The sequence below is a fragment of the Homo sapiens genome, chromosome 17 (genome assembly GCF_000001405.40).
Source record: "Homo sapiens chromosome 17, GRCh38.p14 Primary Assembly".
NCBI lineage: Eukaryota > Metazoa > Chordata > Mammalia > Primates > Hominidae > Homo > Homo sapiens.
The window spans coordinates 660,119-676,946 of NC_000017.11; the positions used below are offsets into that span (position 1 = coordinate 660,119).

General features: G+C 46.1%; 1 protein-coding gene across 9 annotated transcripts in view, besides 2 other annotated features; it reads right to left on the reverse strand.

Annotated features, from left to right (window-relative positions):
* The window catches only part of VPS53 (VPS53 subunit of GARP complex), a 206,172-nt gene that overhangs the window by 151,451 nt on the left and 37,893 nt on the right, over positions 1-16,828 (reverse strand). For 7 of the 9 annotated variants that reach the window (XM_047436344.1, NM_001128159.3, XM_047436346.1 and 4 more), the window contains one exon: positions 1,691-1,777. The exons of the other annotated variants lie outside the window; for them this stretch is intronic. In XM_047436344.1, the coding sequence (XP_047292300.1) occupies positions 1,691-1,777 (87 nt within the window). The remainder of the gene's footprint in view (positions 1-1,690; positions 1,778-16,828) is intronic. 9 annotated transcript variants of the gene reach the window in all.
* Positions 13,111-13,405: a silencer, noted in NCBI's record as "tiled region #8461; HepG2 Repressive non-DNase unmatched - State 15:Elon". NCBI's record gives its function as "represses a minimal TATA promoter and a strong SV40 promoter by Sharpr-MPRA in HepG2 cells {active_cell/tissue: HepG2}" and the evidence as "EXISTENCE:reporter gene assay evidence [ECO:0000049][PMID:27701403]".
* Positions 16,251-16,545: a silencer, noted in NCBI's record as "tiled region #15051; HepG2 Repressive non-DNase unmatched - State 15:Elon". NCBI's record gives its function as "represses a minimal TATA promoter and a strong SV40 promoter by Sharpr-MPRA in HepG2 cells {active_cell/tissue: HepG2}" and the evidence as "EXISTENCE:reporter gene assay evidence [ECO:0000049][PMID:27701403]".

Genomic DNA, 16,828 nt, shown 5'->3' on the forward strand with positions numbered 1-16,828 from the left:
CATGAAATGGGAGGTTGTAGAGTCAGACAGATCTAGGGCTGAACCCCAGCTCTACCACTCACCAACGATGCATCCTAGAACAAGTTTCTCAGCCTCACTGAGTCTCAGTTTTCTCATCTATAAGATGGGTAATCGCAAAGATAATAATGAACATAAATCCTAGTTCATAAGGTTGTGGTGAGGGCTAAATTAGAGTGCTGACACAAAGGAACCAGCACACTGCTGGCACTGAAAGAGCTCAACAAAGATCACTTCTCCCCTCACTCCCACCTCTTCCTCCCTTCAGCACAGCACTGTCCAGGAAAGCAAGCTGCTTTAAAATAAGACATCTCATAACTTGGGAGTAAACTGTCACTGCAAACCCCCTCGGTTGGAAGAGGAAGCATACTCCAGAACACAGATTAGCATCATAAGGATATCAATAAATGCAATCAACTCCAGCAAAAGCAGCATCGGATACTCTCGCTGATCTTCACGCTTTGAGGGCCCCTGGTGCTGCTGGGTGTGGTGCACCCTTGGGGAAGGACGAGGGCCCCTGGGTGCTGCTGGGTGTGGTGCATCCTTGGTGAAGGACGAGGGCCCCTGGGTGCTGCTGGGTGTGGTGCACCCTTGGGGAAGGACCACAGAAAATCCAGGTCCCTAGGACTATGCTCAGTGCTCTTCATACGTTTAATTCTCACAACAACCCTGTGAGGCAAATGCCATTATTCTTATTTTACAGTTGAAGAAGCTGGAATTCTGAGACAACTGACAGACAGGACATTATTGAGTCTGAATCTGAACCCAGGATCCAGCACTTCCCAGCGCCTCCCATGGAGGAGGAGAAGGTGAATGCTGGATTCTCGGTCTTCGGGGCAAGCTTCTGAGCACAACACCGGGGGACACAAATTTGTCAGGGGAGAACTCAACCAAAACCACATACACAGATCATGGGCGGGGACATCCCTCCTCCCTCCATCCCTCCCTCCTCCCGGCTCCAGGACCATTCTCAGCGTGCATCGAGCTACATACCGTACATCTCGATGGAGAAATGCATGATACCAATACCAAGAAATGTTAGAGAAAGGAAAATCCAAAATGACTAGGAAACTATTTTCAGAAAGGAGAAAAAAAAAAGTTGCAGCTGGGCACAGTGGCTCACACCTGTAATCCCAGCACTTTGGGAGGCCGAGGCGGGCGGATCATGAGGTCAAGAGATTGAGACCATCCTGGCCAACATGGTGAAACCCTTTCTCTACTAAAAATACAAAAAATTAGCCGGGCGTGGTGGCAGGCGCCTGTAATCCCAGCTACTTGGGCGGCTGAGGCAGGGGAATCGCTTGAACCTGGGAGGCGGAGGTTGCAGTGAGCCAAGATCGCACCACTGCACTCCAAGGCTGGCGACAGAGCAAGACTCCATCTCAAAAAAAAAAAAAAAAATACCCAAAAAACAAAACAAAACAAAACAAAAAAGTTGCCTATTTAAAACTAGGGCTGCAAACACAGGGCAGCAGAGATGGTGAGCCACCACTGACCAGCAGCTCCCCTTGAATTGATCTGAACGCATTCATAGGGGGCTTGCTTTAGAGATGCAGATGACTCTGGTTGGCAGGAGGTGCCATTATTAGAAAAAGCTCATTATTAGAATGCCTAGATGAGAAGCTCACTTCCTCTTTTGGTGCAAAAAGGTTAGGAAGAAACCAGAACTCACCATTTGCTCTGATTTTTCAGCTTTGTCTTTGATATCTTTGATTTTGCCAAAGAGTTGTTGGATAGCTTTCTGAGCCTCTTCAAGCGCCTAGAGTAAGGGAAATACATGAAAAACAAAAAGTGGCTAGAGACAGCTCCAGTCACTAACTGTAATCAATGCTAGGCACAAAAGAAATTTCCATGAAGCTCTCCTGATTCATTGTACTTATGCCAACAATTTTTCTGGACCAAAATAGTAGAGACCTATAGAGTCCAGTGGCTGCGAACAGGTAAACACTCGGGACTCTTACCAATGTTCCTCACAAAGTTTCAACTTAAAACTAAATGATTCCCCTCTACCTCAGTCATTACTGTACATGTTATTGATAACAGCAAATAGGACAAGTAGATCTCTGTGTGTGGGTGTATGCAAAGACTCACACAGAGGGACAGGGGTAGCTCTAAATTGGGGCAAGGGAAAGCTCTGGACTTGGAAGTTCCAGATTGTGCATTCAAAAAAACCTGAACCGTGAATGGGGACTCCAGAACTGCAACAAATCTTAAAGACTTTCATAGTAAGCCATTTGAAAACCAATGAAATGCACTTAGAAAGGAACACTGGGCCGGACACAGTGGCTCACGCCTGTAATCCCAGCACTTTGGGAGGCCAAGGCGGGCAGATCACGAGGTCAGGAGATCAAGACCATCCTGGCTAACACGGTGAAACCCCATCTCTACTAAAAATACAAAAAACTAGCCAGGCACAGTGGCACGCACCTGTAGTCCCAGCTACTCAGGAAGCTGAGGCAGAAGAATTGCTTGAACCCGGGAGGCAGAGCTTGCAGTGAGCCGAAATTGCGCCACTGCACTCCAGCCTGGGTGACAGAGCGAGACTCCAAAAGGAAAGAAAAGAAAAGAAAGAGAAAGAATGAAAGAAGAAGGGAGAGAAAGAGAGACAAAGAAAGAGAAAGAAAGAAAGAAAGAAAGAGAAAGAAAGAAAAAAAGAAAGAGAAAGAAAGAAAAAAAGAAAGAAAGAGAAAGAGAAAGAAAGGAAGGAAGGAAGGAAGGAAGGAAGGAAGGAAGGAACGAAGGAAGGAAGGAAGGAAGGCAGGCAGGCAGGCAGGCAGGCAGGCAGGCAGAAAGCTAATGGTGGCTCACACCTGTAATCCCAGCACTTCAGAGGCTGAGGCAGGAGGATTGCTTGAGCCCAGGAGTTCAAGACTAGCCTGGGGAACATGGCAAGACTCGGTCTCTGCAAAAAAAAAAGTTAGCCAGGCATGGTGGCGCACACCAGTAGTCTCAGCTACTTGGGAGGCTGAGGTGGGAAGATTACTTGAGCCTGGGAGGTCAAGGCTGCAGTGAACTGTGATCATGCCACTGCACTCCAGCCTGGTGACTGAGCGAGATCTTGTCTCAAAAAAACAAGCAAAAAGCTAATGGTGAGCCCAGCATTTCCACTGAAATAAAAACCTACAAGGACAGATGCTACACAATGAAAGTATTACAACACAGCTGCAGCTTCTGCTAGGAGGGGAAGCAACATGAGGGCAGTTGTGACATGTGGAGACCAGAAAGTTCCTGTGAGTGCCAGCAGGCCACAGACGTGTACAGACCAAATGCACTGGACCGTCCGTGAGTAAAGACTACCCACAGCTAAAGTACCTGTGAGTGCCAGCAGCCCACAGACGTGTATCGACCACATGCACTGGACCATCCGTGAGTAAAGACTACCTACAGCTAAAGTACCTGTGAGTGCCAGCAGCCCACAGACGTGTATAGACCACAGGCACTGGACCGTCCGTGAGTAAAGACTACCTACAGCTAAAGTGTCTGTGAGCGTGTCAGCAGGCCACGGATGTGTATAGACCACATGCACTGGACTGTCCGTGACTAAAGACTATGAATTCCTGAGGCAGTTATAGTTCTAGGCACGAGTCAGCATCTCCTTAATTCACTCCTTCAATCACTCAATGAGTATTTACTGAATGCCTCCCATATACCAGGCATGATTCTAGGCATTGGGAATCCAATGGTAAACAAGACAGTATGGTCTCTCTCTCTGTCCTCAAGGAATGAACTTACTTTGAGAAGTAAGGGGGAGGAGATCCTGGAAAAACAACAAAATAAAGAAACAAGATAATTCCTAAGTGTGGTGAATTGACAGGTGTGGTGAAGGACTTATGCAGTGATGAGAATAAGGGAGATGGTGGTCACAGAAGGTCTCCTGAGAAAGGGCACACAAATCGGGACCTGCAGGATGAGGAGGTGTGAGAATTTGTAGATTTGGAGTAAGATGATTTTTTTTTTCTTGAGATGGAGTCTCACTCTGTTGCCCAGGCTAGAGTTAAGTGGCGTGATCTCAGCTCACTGCAACCTCTGCCTCCCAGGTTCAAGCAATTCTCCTGCCTCAGCCTCCCGAGTAGCTGGGACTACAGGCACCTGCCACCACACCTGGCTAATTTTTTGTATTTTTAGTAGAGACGGGGTTTCACCGTGTTGGCCAGGATGGTCTCGATCTCCTGACCTCGTGATCTGCCCGCCTCGGCCTCCCAAAGTGCTGGGATTACAGACGTGAGCCGCCGCGCCCAGCCTGGAGTAAGAGGATTTTCAGCAGAGAGAAAAGCAAATGTGAAGATCCTGACAGAGAAAAGACCTCGGTGTTTTGGAGGTCCGAAAAGACAGACAGTAGGTGGTAGTGCAATATTGCAGCGGGAAGTGTCTGGAAATAATCTGGAGAGGTGGGCACGAGCCAGAGCACGGAGGCCTCAAAGCATAAGGATTCTGCTCTAAGTGCCAATGAGAAGCCACTGAAGGGTCTAAACAAGGGACAGATGTATGGCTTACTTGTATAAGACTGTCCTGGCTGCTGTGTGGCAAAGGGGCTGTGCAGGGGCAGGAGGGAAAGCGGGAGTGAAAGCTCTGTGAGAAGTTGCTGCAGTGTCCACGAGACGGTGGAGGCCTAGAAGAGGCAGCCGGTGCTGACGGGAAGACGCCGAGCGATTCAGGGTTTCCAGGAAGGTACAATGTGTAGGACTCACTGATGGACTGTGTGTGGGTGATGAGGGAGAGGGAGAACCAAGGATGACGCCCGGGTTTTGGTTGAAAAGCCAAGGCCAGGGTTCACTGTCTGAACCAGGGAATGCAGGAGGAGGACGGGCTTGACAGGCAGGTGTGTGTGGTGGTGGCGGGGCTGGAAGTGAAGAGTCCCATCTGCAATACGTTACGGGTGCCTGTGCTATGGCTGGAATGCATCCCCAAAGTTCATGTGTTGGAAACATAATCCCCAATGCAATGGTGTTGGCAGGTGGGGCCTTTACGAGGTGACCAGGTCATGAGGGGTTTGCCCTCACGAACAAATGAATGGCATTATCTCGGGAGTGGGTTCTTGATAAAAGGATCTGTTCAGCCACTTTCTCGTGCATGCACACACTTTCTTGCCTTCCAACTCTGCCATGGGACGACGCAGTGAGAAGGCCCTCGCCGCAGGACGACATGGTGAGAAGGCGCTCGCCGCGGGACGACGCAGTGAGAAAGCCCTCGCCGCGGGAAGATGCGGTAAGAAGCCCTTGCCTGATGTGGGCCCCTTGACCTTGGACTTCCCAGCCTCCAGAATTATAAGAAATCTCTTTTCTTTATAAATGATTCAGTCTGTACTATTCTGTTACAGTAACATAAAACAGACTAAGAAAACTGGTATCAAGAAGTGGGCTACTGCTATAGTAAATACCTGAAAACATGGCTTTGGAGCTGGGTGATGGACAGATGTGGAACAGTCTTGAAGTGAAGGCTGGAAAAAGCCTGTATTGCTGTGAACAGAGTGCTAAGGGGGATTCTGCTAAGGGCTCAGAAGAAAAGCAGAAATGTAGAGAAAGTCTGGAACTTCTTAGAAATTACTTCATGGTTGTGACCGGAGTGTTGGTAGAAATACAGACAGTAAGCTGGGCATGGTGGCTCACGCCTGTCATCCCAGTACTTTGGGAGCCTGAGGCGGGCGGATCGCCTGAGGTCAAGAGTTCAAGACAGCCTGGCCAACATGGTGAAACCCCGTCTCTACTAAAAATACAAAAATTAGATGGGCGTGGTGGCGGGCACCTGTCATCCCAGCTACTCGGGAGGCTGAGGCAGGAGAATCACTTAAACCCAGGAGGCGGAGGTTGCAGTGAGCTGAGATAGCACCACTGCACTCCAACCTGGGTAATAAGAGCAAAACTCTGTCCCGACCAAAAAAAAAGATAGCTTACTTGAGATCAAGTAGAGACATTAAGTTGGACATAAGATTCTGGAGCTTGGAAGAGAGGTGATAGGTTGGGATTTAAATTCAGAAGTCATTACTTTAGAGATGATATGTAAGTCTGTAAGATTAGAAGTCACCTAGGAAGACAGAATACACAAGAGAAGAAAAGATGGCACAGGGCTGACCCTTGGGCATGCCAATATTCAGAAGTCTAAAATAAAAAAAAGCAGAGATGCAGAGAAAAACCACCAGTGACATGAGAAAAAATCAGGGACGATGGGTGTTACAGAAGCCAAACAGAAGTGTTTGAAGGAGAAGGAAAGAGTGATTGTGCCTTCTGTTGTTAAACACTCATGTAAGAGGCTGGGCGCAGTGGCTCAGGCCTATAATCCCAGCACTTTGGGAGGCCAGGGCGGGTGGATGACCTGAGGTCAGGAGTTCAAGACCAGCCTGACCAATATGATGAAACCCTGTCTCTACTCAAAATACAAAAATTAGCCGGGCGTGGTGGCAGGCGCCTGTAATCCCAGCTACTCAGGAGGCTGAGACAGGATAATCGCGTGAACCCAGGAGGCAGAGGTTGCAGTGAGCCAAGATCGTGCCACTGCACTCCAGCCTGGGCAACAAGAGCAAAACTCCATCTCAAAACAACAACAACAACAAAAAACTCATGTGGATCATGAGGTCAAGAGTTTGTGACCAGCCTGACCAACATGGTGAAACCCCTGTCTCTACTAAAAATACAAAAATTAGCCAGGCATGGTGGTGTGCACCTGTAATCCCAGCTACTCAGGAGGCTGAGGTAGGAGAATTGCTTGAACCCAGGAAACGGAAGCTGCAGTGAGCCAAGATGGTGCCATTGCACTCCAGCCTAGGCGACAGAGCAAGACTCCATCTCAAAAAAAAAAATGAAGACAGCTGCTACTGATTTTGACAACAGGGAAGTTGTTGGTGACCTTGACAAGAGCAGTCTCAATGCAGTCAAGGGAATGGACAGCGATGACATGAAGTAGAGGCTGTGATCACAGAGCAGGCCACAAATGATGGCCTGTGGGCTGAAGCCAGTCTGCCACGTCTGCCACCTGTTTTTGTAAACAATGTGTTTTTGGACCGAAACTCATTAATAATACTTAAACCAAACTCATTTGTTTAAGTATTGTTTATGGGGACTTTTGCCACACAATGGCAGAGATAAATAGTTACAACAGAGACCATATGGTCAGTAAAGGCTAAAATATTTACTATCCAGCCCTTAACAGAAAGCTTGCTGACCCTGGTATAGACTTTTTTTTTCAAGAAGTTTTTGCTATGAGAAAGGAAGAAAAATAGGGCAAAAGATGGCGTAAAGGGAGTAATTTTTAAAGATGAGAAATGCTTGCATACGTCTGCTTGGGAGTGATTTAGCAGGAGAGAAATTTATTTGGGGGGGCAATGGGTTAATTACAGAAGAGGACTGTTTTAAACATAATGTTCTGGGGGGGGCAATGGGTTAATTACAGAAGAGGACTGTTTTAAACATAATGTTCTGGGGGGGGCAATGGGTTAATTACAGAAGAGGACTGTTTTAAACATAATGTTCTGCGGAGGGGGCAATGGGTTAATTACAGAAGAGGACTGTTTTAAACATAATGTTCTGGGGGGGGGGGCAATGGGTTAATTACAGAAGAGGACTTTTTTAAACATAATGTTCTTGAATTGTTTAGTGCAGGGGACCCCAAGCCCTGGGCCGTGGGCCAGCACCAGTCCGTGGCCTGTTGGGAACTGGGCCGCACAGCAGGAGGTGAGCGGTGGGCAAGTGAGTGAGCATGATCTTCTGAGCTCCCCCTCCTCAGATCAGCAGCGGTATTAGATTCTCATAGGAGCGCGAACCCTACTGTGAACTGCACACGCGAGGGATCTAGGTTGCAAGCTCCTTAACAGAATCTAACTAAGGCCTGATTATCTGAGGTGGAACAGTTTCATCCTGAAACCATGTCCCCCTCCCTGGTCCATGGAAAAACTGTCTTCCAAAAAACTGCTCGCTGGTGCCAAAAAGGTTGGGGACCACTGGTTTAGTGTATGAGTATTAGCCCTTTAGCAGGGTTATAAGTATCCTTTAGAATGGGGACCAAGGATATGAACAGCACTCCTATAGAGCCCATAGCTGAGCCAATCATCCATTTGGTTTACCGGGGACACGCTGCGTTTATGATTCAGTATAGTTATTAACAGCTCCCTCTCCTTCTCAAAGTGACTCTGGTGATAAATCATATGGTCACCTCACCTACAGCACCTAAGCAAGGCTATGGCACAGTGGGACCTTGACAAATATTGCCCACTGATTAAAAGTATCATGGTGCACCTGTAAGAGTGCTGGTGCTGAGGCTACCGCTCTGAATAAGTGCGCTCATAACCATTCCTCTAACTTCAGGCCCAACCATGAGCAGTGGTTCAAAATCACAGCTTCATGCTTTCTGTAAGTATTCTCTATTTGGCTTAAACAGAGTCTAATATCCAAGATGCTACATGGGATCAGTAAATTCTAAAAAAGTTTCAATCGTGGAGTAAAAAGTGCAACAGAGGCCTCTGTAGGCAACTGACCACTAGAAAGGACTGATCTTTTTCGACACAGCTCACATGGAATTCTGTGATACTGCAGGTCATGTCATGTTATGGTGACATGCTAATGGGACCATAGCTACTGTGTTCTAGACAAACACCCTAAAACATATGACATGCAGCTAAGAAAGGCAAAAAAGGGGCTAAGTTATACACTTAGGTCTCACATATGAAGAAGTCTGCATGATCCTATCTCAGAGAAAGGGTTTCTATCCCTTTCTCTCTTACATTAAACCTGGCATCCTACCAGAACTGTCTCTGCTGAAGGTATCGCTTTTTTCTTCCAGCAAACAAATAAGACTCACACAATCTTACATGTCACAGTCTCCAAGATAGATAAACTATGTGCCAGACTTTTTTCGGGCTGGAATACTTTTGCTTGTTTTAATAAGGTACTGAAGTTGGGGAAATGTACTATAATTCATTTTGCAGAGTTTAAAAACTCCTCTGAAGCACTGGTGCTATCAGGCAAGTCCATTCTCAACACACACCCTAATATTTGACATCTAACCTCTGATCATGAGTCATATAGAAAGATTGTTTTGCAACTGGAAGAATCATGGGTCCTACAAGAAGTTAAGGTTTTTTTAAGAAACACAAAAATACCTTCACTACCTGGCTAATCAGAAATGTGCTGAAAGAATCACTCTGGCACTGTCCCTAGACACTTTTTAAAATAAAAACGTGGTTGGCCGGGGGGGCAGTAGCTCACACCTATAATCCCAGCACGCTGCAAGGCTGACGGTGGATTACTTGAGGCCAGGAGTTCAAGACCAGTCTGACCAACATGACGAAACTCCGTCTCTACTAAAAATACTAAAAAAATTAGCTGTGTGTGCTAGTACATGCCTATAGTTCCAGCTACTCCGGAGGCTGAGGCATGAGAATCACTTGAGCCCAGGAGGCGGAGGCTGCAGTGAGCCAAGATTGCGCCACTGCACTCCAGCCTGGGTGACAGAGACATACTCTGTCTTAAAAAAAAAAAAAAAATTAGGCCAGGTGCGATGGCTCATGCCTGTAATCCCAGCACTTTGGGAGGCTGAGGCAGGTGGATCATGAGGTCAAGAGATCAAGACCATCCTGCCCAACATGGTGAAACCCCATCTCTACTAAAAATACAAAAATTAGCTGGGTGTGGTGGCGCATGCCTGTAATCCCAGCTACTCGGGAGGCTGAGGCAGGAGAATCACTTGAACCAGGGAGTCGGAGGTTGCAGTGAGCTGAGATGGTGCCATCGCACTCCAGCCTGGTGACAGAGCGAGACTCCATCTAAAAAAAAAAAAAGAAGAAAAAAAAGTAATAATAAAAAAATTAAAAGGTGGCTACTTTCCATTCCAAGCTGTATGTGGATTAAAAACAGAACTAATCACTCCCAAAAATGTCTGCATTTAATCTACCCCACTAGAGTTTCTGAACGGAGCACTGGAGCTACAGCTTACGTCTAAAGGTGTTATAAAGCAGTGACTGTTGTGGCCCTTTTTAGGACTCAAATTCTATACACACACAGCCTGCATCCTAAAGTGTTATAAAGCGGCGACTGTGTTTAATCTGCCCCTACTGGAGTTTCTGAACTGGGCACTGGTGAACTGGGCACTGGTGAACTGGGCACTGGTGAACTGGGCACTGGAGCCACAGCCTGTATCTGACGGTGTTATAAAGCGGTGACTGCCGTGCTCCTCTTTTAAGACTCAAATTCTGTAAACAGGAGATGAAAAGCAACCCACTGAATTAGCCTAGAAGGCTCAGCAAAACCAATTCCAGCATCTTTGTATTTCTGTGCATCCTAATGGTAACCACTACTCTGAATTCTCCTTGCCTCCTGGAGGAGACGGTGAGCAGGCTCTCAAAGCCACAGGAGGTCACGTGTGGAAGATAAGGAGTATGGAACCTGGCACAGACTCTCCTGCTTTCTTCTTTCTCTTTTTCCTTTTTTTGCAGAACTGTTGTCTGCCACGTTAGTAGACAGAGGGGCTCTGATTCATTGGCAGTGCCTTAAGAAATGAGCATCCCTCTGGCTCTCAGGTCCATCTAATTTTGCAGTCTGCGCCATCAGAGAATGATGCTGCCTTTATCCTGTGAGTCCGCAGGCAGCCTTTCAGAGATTTTAAACCGAGATCCCCTTTGTGGCCACTGCAGGAAGGAGGAAAGGTTGTTCATTTTCCGAAGAGCTGGTATGGCTTTAGACTATTCTGTGAAAAAATAAGGTGCTATTATTCACGGTTACTGGGGAGAAAATTAGATTTTTCCACTATTTTGCTACCATTTCTGTTTTCCAACTTGACATCTATCTGCTGGTTCCCTTTTCTATTATATGGAAAAGCAACGTGCTGGGCCAGGTGCAGTGGCTCACGCCTGTAATCCCAGCACTTTCGGAGGCCGAGGCAGGCAAATCACCTAAGGTCAGGAGTTAGAGACCAGCCTAGCCAACATGGTGAAACCCCGTCTCTTCTAAAAATACAAAAACTAGCCAGCCATCATGGTACACACCTGTAATCCCAGCTACTGGGGAGGATGAGGCAGGAGAATCGCCTGCACCTAGGAGGTGGAGGTTGCAGTGAGCCAAGATTATGCCACTGCACTCCAGCCTGGGCAACAGAGTGAGACGGAGAAAGAAAAGAAAAGAAAGAAGAAAGGAAAAGGAAAAGGGAAGGGAAGGGACAAAAAGAAGGAAGGAAGGGAGGGAGGAAGGAAAAAGAAAAAAAGAAAAGAGAGACAGGAAAGAAAGAGGAAAGAAAGAAAGAAAAGAAAGAAAAGAGAAAGAGGGAGGGAGGGAGGGAGCAACATGCTGTATGAGTTACAAGCAAGGGATTTTCAACTAGCAGACTGGGATTCAAACCTTGGCTCTGCCAGTTACTGTGTGATTTCTGTCAAGCCTCTTATCCTCTAGGAAGTAGTTTCATAATTTCCAGAATGCAAATTCTATCAGCTACCTGAAAGGTAGTAAGGAATGTGAGAGTAGAAAATATGTTTGGAATCGTTTACCCAACACTCTTCCCCTCCGCATGCGAAATCTTCCTTTCACCGTGTTTCTACAGAGTCTGCTGTCCAAGAGCTGACCAGGCCCTCGTTGGAGCAGTTTTCCCATGACTTTTTTTTTTTTTTTTTGAGACAGAGTCACGCTTCGTCGTGGCATGATCTCAGCTCACTGCAACATCCGCCTCCTGGGTTCAAGTGATTCTCATGCCTCAGCCTCCTGAGTAGCTGGGATTACAGGCACCCGCCACCACACCCAGCTAATTTTTGTATTTTTAGTAGAGACGGGGTTTCACCATGTTGGCCAGGACGGTCTCCATCTCCTGACCTCATGACCCGCTTACCTCGGCCTCCCAACATGCTGGGATTACAGGCGTGAGCCACCAGAATGAGAATTGGGAAAAAGAGTTTGTCTTTCGCGGGTGGTAGGAGTCCCAAGAAGTGAAACTGAGTTAGAGAGCAGCTAGGTTCCCCAGGAAGGGCAGGAGGCTGGACTACAGGTAGAGATGATGAGGGTGACACACACACACACACACACACACACACACACACACACACACAATCTCTCTCTCACACAATCTCAATCTCTCTCTCTCTCTCTCTCTCTCTCTCTCTCTCTCTGAGCTTTACTCCCGTCTTTGGCTTCAGCTGTTTGACAAGCCCAGCTGAGACGCTATCCTTCTGGCGGTCACACTTGTTGAACTTCTTCAAACGAGACACAACAGGATCCTTCCAAATAATCCCCCTTTTGCCTAAGCCCGTTTGAATTGGGATTTTTGTCTTCTGCAACCAAGAGAGTCTTGAATGAGTTTATAAAGCACTCAGCTCACAGAAAGTGCTCACTTAATGGCAACTATTAGTATTCCCACATCTCCTAGATGGAGTAGGATATTTCAGATGAGACTACCCTCTAAGAATCAGAGGTTGTTACTCATCTTTTAGAGCTTTGTAAATAAGATGGCTAAGTTCAGTATCTGCAGGCAGACTCAGAAGAACGGCTCATGGATTAAGAGGATGGAATCTTTGAACCATGCTGAAAATGAGACATTCTCCAGAAAAAAATTGAAGTCTTTTGTTCATTCATTCAATTAAAAAGTGAGTGCCTATTACATGTACTGTGCTAGATACTGAGAGAAAAAGATCACTAGCTAGGGAATGTATCTTTAAAGGGCTTGTAAGGAATACATGTCTGAATTATACACAAAATGATACAAAGAGCGATGAATAAAGAATGGCAGCGGCCGGGCGCAGTGGCTCACGCCTGTAATCCCAGCACTGTGGGAGGCTGAGGAAGGTGGATCACGAGGTCAGGAGATCGAGACCATCCTGGCGAACACGGTGAAACCCCGTCTCTACTAAAAATACAAAAAATTAACCGGGCGTGGTGGCGGGCGCCTGTAGTCCCAGCTACTCGGGAGACTTAGGCAGGAGAATGGCGTGAACCCAGGAGGTGGAGCTTGCAGTGAGCCGAGATTGTGCCACTGCACTCCAGCCTGGGGCACAGAGCAAGATTCCGTCGCAAAAAAAAAACAAAAACAAAAACAAAAAAAAAACAACGGCAGCATCATTTCGAAAGCCAGGAGGTCCTCCAGAGAGCAGAAACATGGATGAGTGCTACCACATCTGATAAGCCCTACACGGAAGCCCTCACCACATCCACTGAGGGTGGACACCAAGGGTCAAGTCGCCTCTCTTTAGAGAAAGTCTCTTCTTTTGTTACTGCTGACCACCCCGGCATCACTGAGAGCTGTTGCTATGGAAACGAGGTATCCCCAGCTGAAACAGAGGTGCTTCAGCCAGCCTCAGCAATGCTAACAATGCAGCCCGCTCTCCACGACGGTGCTCAACAGCAGCAGAGGCTGCGGGACTCTCACACACCCAGCCTCAGCAATGCCAACAACGCAGCCCACTCCCCATGATGGTGCTCAACAGCAGCAGAGGCTGTCGGACTCTCACAGCCACAGATGGCTGCACGTCTACAGCTCTTTGCTTCCCTACGTGTCCGAGAACTCAACCAGGACTGCCCTGGTCAAATGCCAGATGGCGCCCATCAGATGAGAATCACTGATGTTTACACAAATTCCTCCACACCACTTAGGAACCTGGAGTATAAGAAGGCTTTATTTAAAGCACAGATTTCTTTCCAAGTTTGTGAACCAAAAACCAAAGGACTGTAAAGAGCAAACGGAGTAATTCTCACCTTGTTTGTTAAAATGTTCTGTTCCATGTAAGTTACTTTTATTTATGATTTCTGCAAACCAAAGCCACTGAAAATGTGAACCAAAGAGCTCATTTTTGTTGTTTTCAGGAGACAAGCCAGAAATTAAAATCACAAGACGAGGCTCGGAAACAAATTCAGCAGTGCCCAAATAAGACTAAACATTTACATTGCAAAGTTCTGCCTATATCTGTTATCACCCCTAACTTAAAACAAGCTAGCCCTGAAATAGCTGCGAGTGACGGATGCGTTCATGCAGCTTCCTTTGACGAAAGGTAACCCCGGAGGATGAGAGCATTTCAAGCAACACCTCCAAGTGGCAAAAGACAAGGAAACGTTTAAGCAAAAGTTTCTGCTGCTTTTGCTGAATGAAAGGTAAAGAAATTCAATATTTTTGGAAATGGGGCACATTAAAAGGAACAACTTGTCCAAGTTTAACAAAGGACTACTTTTCCCAAATAGCCAGGACTTCCAGTTGCCAAGTTCGAGGTTATTGACTTCATTCTAATTCCCCATATCTTACTATTACTTCTCATTTTAGTCACTTCATAACTCTCATCTATATCGTAAGTCTTCATTCAGGAGAAAACATCCTTTTGCGTGACATCTGGATGTTCCCTCAGCTGACTTTTTGAGACACCTTCTGTGCCAAATGCCCTTCAGGCTGCGAGGATTCATCTGTGTGATTTTTTTCTCTTCCTGGTTCGCTTACTCTCTTTAGGGCCTCACTGGTGTCTGTATTTTCGGCAGCACAGGTGTGCAGAACACAGAGAGTTCTCTTCAACCTGGGGTTCTTCTCTCAGTCCAGTTTCTTCGTCATACTGAGGGGGACCAAGCTGGCTAATGAGGCCATGGTCACTGCCATTATTTGAAATTCCTTATGAATCAGCCTTCCAGGCTCCACAGCAAAACAGGTGGCTCCCAAATCTGCTTTTAAATGTTTGTCACTGTTTAAAGATAATTTAGTATGGACAAGTATGCAGCATACTGCGAATGAGAAAATCTGGGTCTGTGATTAACTCGCTTCGTGTGATTTTGGGCACGTCACAGAACTGATGCGGGCCATCTCTTCATCTGTAAAATGGGGAGAACAGCATCTACGTGGCCTAATTCACACATCTTTGTAAACATGTGAATCGAGTAAATCAAGTAAAGTAATATATGCAACAATATTTTGCAAGGTAAACATTTATAGTGTAATAAAACATTAGCATTACAGATCAAGACAAATGACTCAAAATGTTATGTTCTGCAAAAGCAACTGAAAATGTGTCTTTGCTTACAGTGAATGAATCAAGAACAGATCAGCCTTAAAACAGTACATCCTTAATTACAGAGATCTGGAAAATTCCAGGGCTGACAAACGGTCCTAGAACCTGCCCACAAGACACTAGTTACCAGAAATCTCTAAAGACTAGAATCTCTAAGTCTTCAATGAAAAAAAAGTTTAAATTTCTGACTTATTAGAAGTAGCACTTTGCCTAGCTGATAATTCTACGGTTATCACGGAAGTAGGAGAGGGCTGTCTGTCGCGACCGTTCCCTTGTGACTAGGAACAAGAAAAGCTCAAGTACAACAAGGAGACAGGAGTTAAGAATTCGGTCTGAGATGGGGTAAAGACCCCTCAAATACACCTTTTCTCCTGCTTTAAAGACAGAATTTGAATCATCAAACTTACTTGGGGCCAGGTGCAGTGGCTCACGCCTGTAATCACAACACTTTGGGAGGCAGAGGCGGGCGGATCACCTCAGGTTGGGTGTTCGAGACCAGCCTGGCCAACCTGGTGAAAACCCGTCTCTACCGAAAATACAAAAATTAGCCGGGTGTGGTGGCAGGCACCTGTAATCTCAGCTACTCAGGAGGCTGAGGCAGGAGAATCACTTGAACCCAGGAGGCGGAGGTTGCAGTGAGCTGAGATCACACCTCCATCCTGGGCGACAGGGCGAGACTCCCATCTCAAAAAAAAAAAAAAAAAAAAAACTTACTTGGTAGTAAGTATATCTCCAGAAGAAATGCCCCCCTCCAAATTGGGGGTCATTATGAAAGTGGCACTAATACATTTTTGCCTAACATCCATATTCCAGGTATCACATACAATACCTAGAAACGAACACAGCATCTGTTCAGAGTCTACGATGCAATACAGAAACAGAAATTAGAAACCCCGGCATGGGATCCAATAATATACGGAGGACGACAAGTTTCTGATGTATTTTAGAGCTTTAATCTAGATGACTACAAAACGCCAAGCCAAAACAGATGTATTATCTTTGGTTTTGCAAAACTAATCTCCTTCCAGAGGAGACCCTGGAGTCCAAATTGGAGCAAAGGAAATTTTATAGTTACAGACTCTTGAAAATGGAGACTTACACATGGAAATGGTGACGGCACAACCACAACGCTGAATCTGTGCTCTTCTAAATACTGTTTCCGTGGATGAAAGAGGGAAGAGGAAAAAGGAGGCCAAGTTCTTCCATGAAGACAGAAAGCCAAATTCCCATCCATTGTACAAACATATCTCAGTGACTTCTTGTATCAAGGACCTGAAATCCAGAAGGCTTTGCTCTGTTGGCAGTAATTCCGCAATTTTTCTAATGCACAGCCTCAAACTGAGGATGGAATTTTCCTTACACGATTTCTAACTACTAGCAATCAAAAGCAAGAGTGACCTGGGTACTAGCCAGAGCAGTTACAGTGGTGATGAATGGCATTTTCCTCTTGAGACGCAGAGTCTAGTTTAAACTTGTGACTGCCTCTAACATGGAAATAAGCAGATGGTGAGTTACGCTTGACCTTCTTTCTTGGCTCCTGAAGACTGCCAGTTTATATGGAGATGGCTCAGAAGAACCTGCCAATTTATATGGAGATGGCTCAGAAGAACAATAAACTTCAGTGTTCTTTCTTGGCGCAGTATTTTCCTAAAACTATTTTCAATAATCATGTTGCAGAAAAGCGGGACTTGGCGTTTCTAAGGTCAGGAAGGAAACAGTCCAACTGCTGGACTAGTTAACTAAATAAAAGAAAAAATCAGGGTGGTTTTTTTTTTTTGTGGGAGAGAACATCTCCATGAGTAGGCACTACATACAAAAGCTTAAGATTCTTGCTAATCAGAAACATGTTGTCTATATTAATTAAAT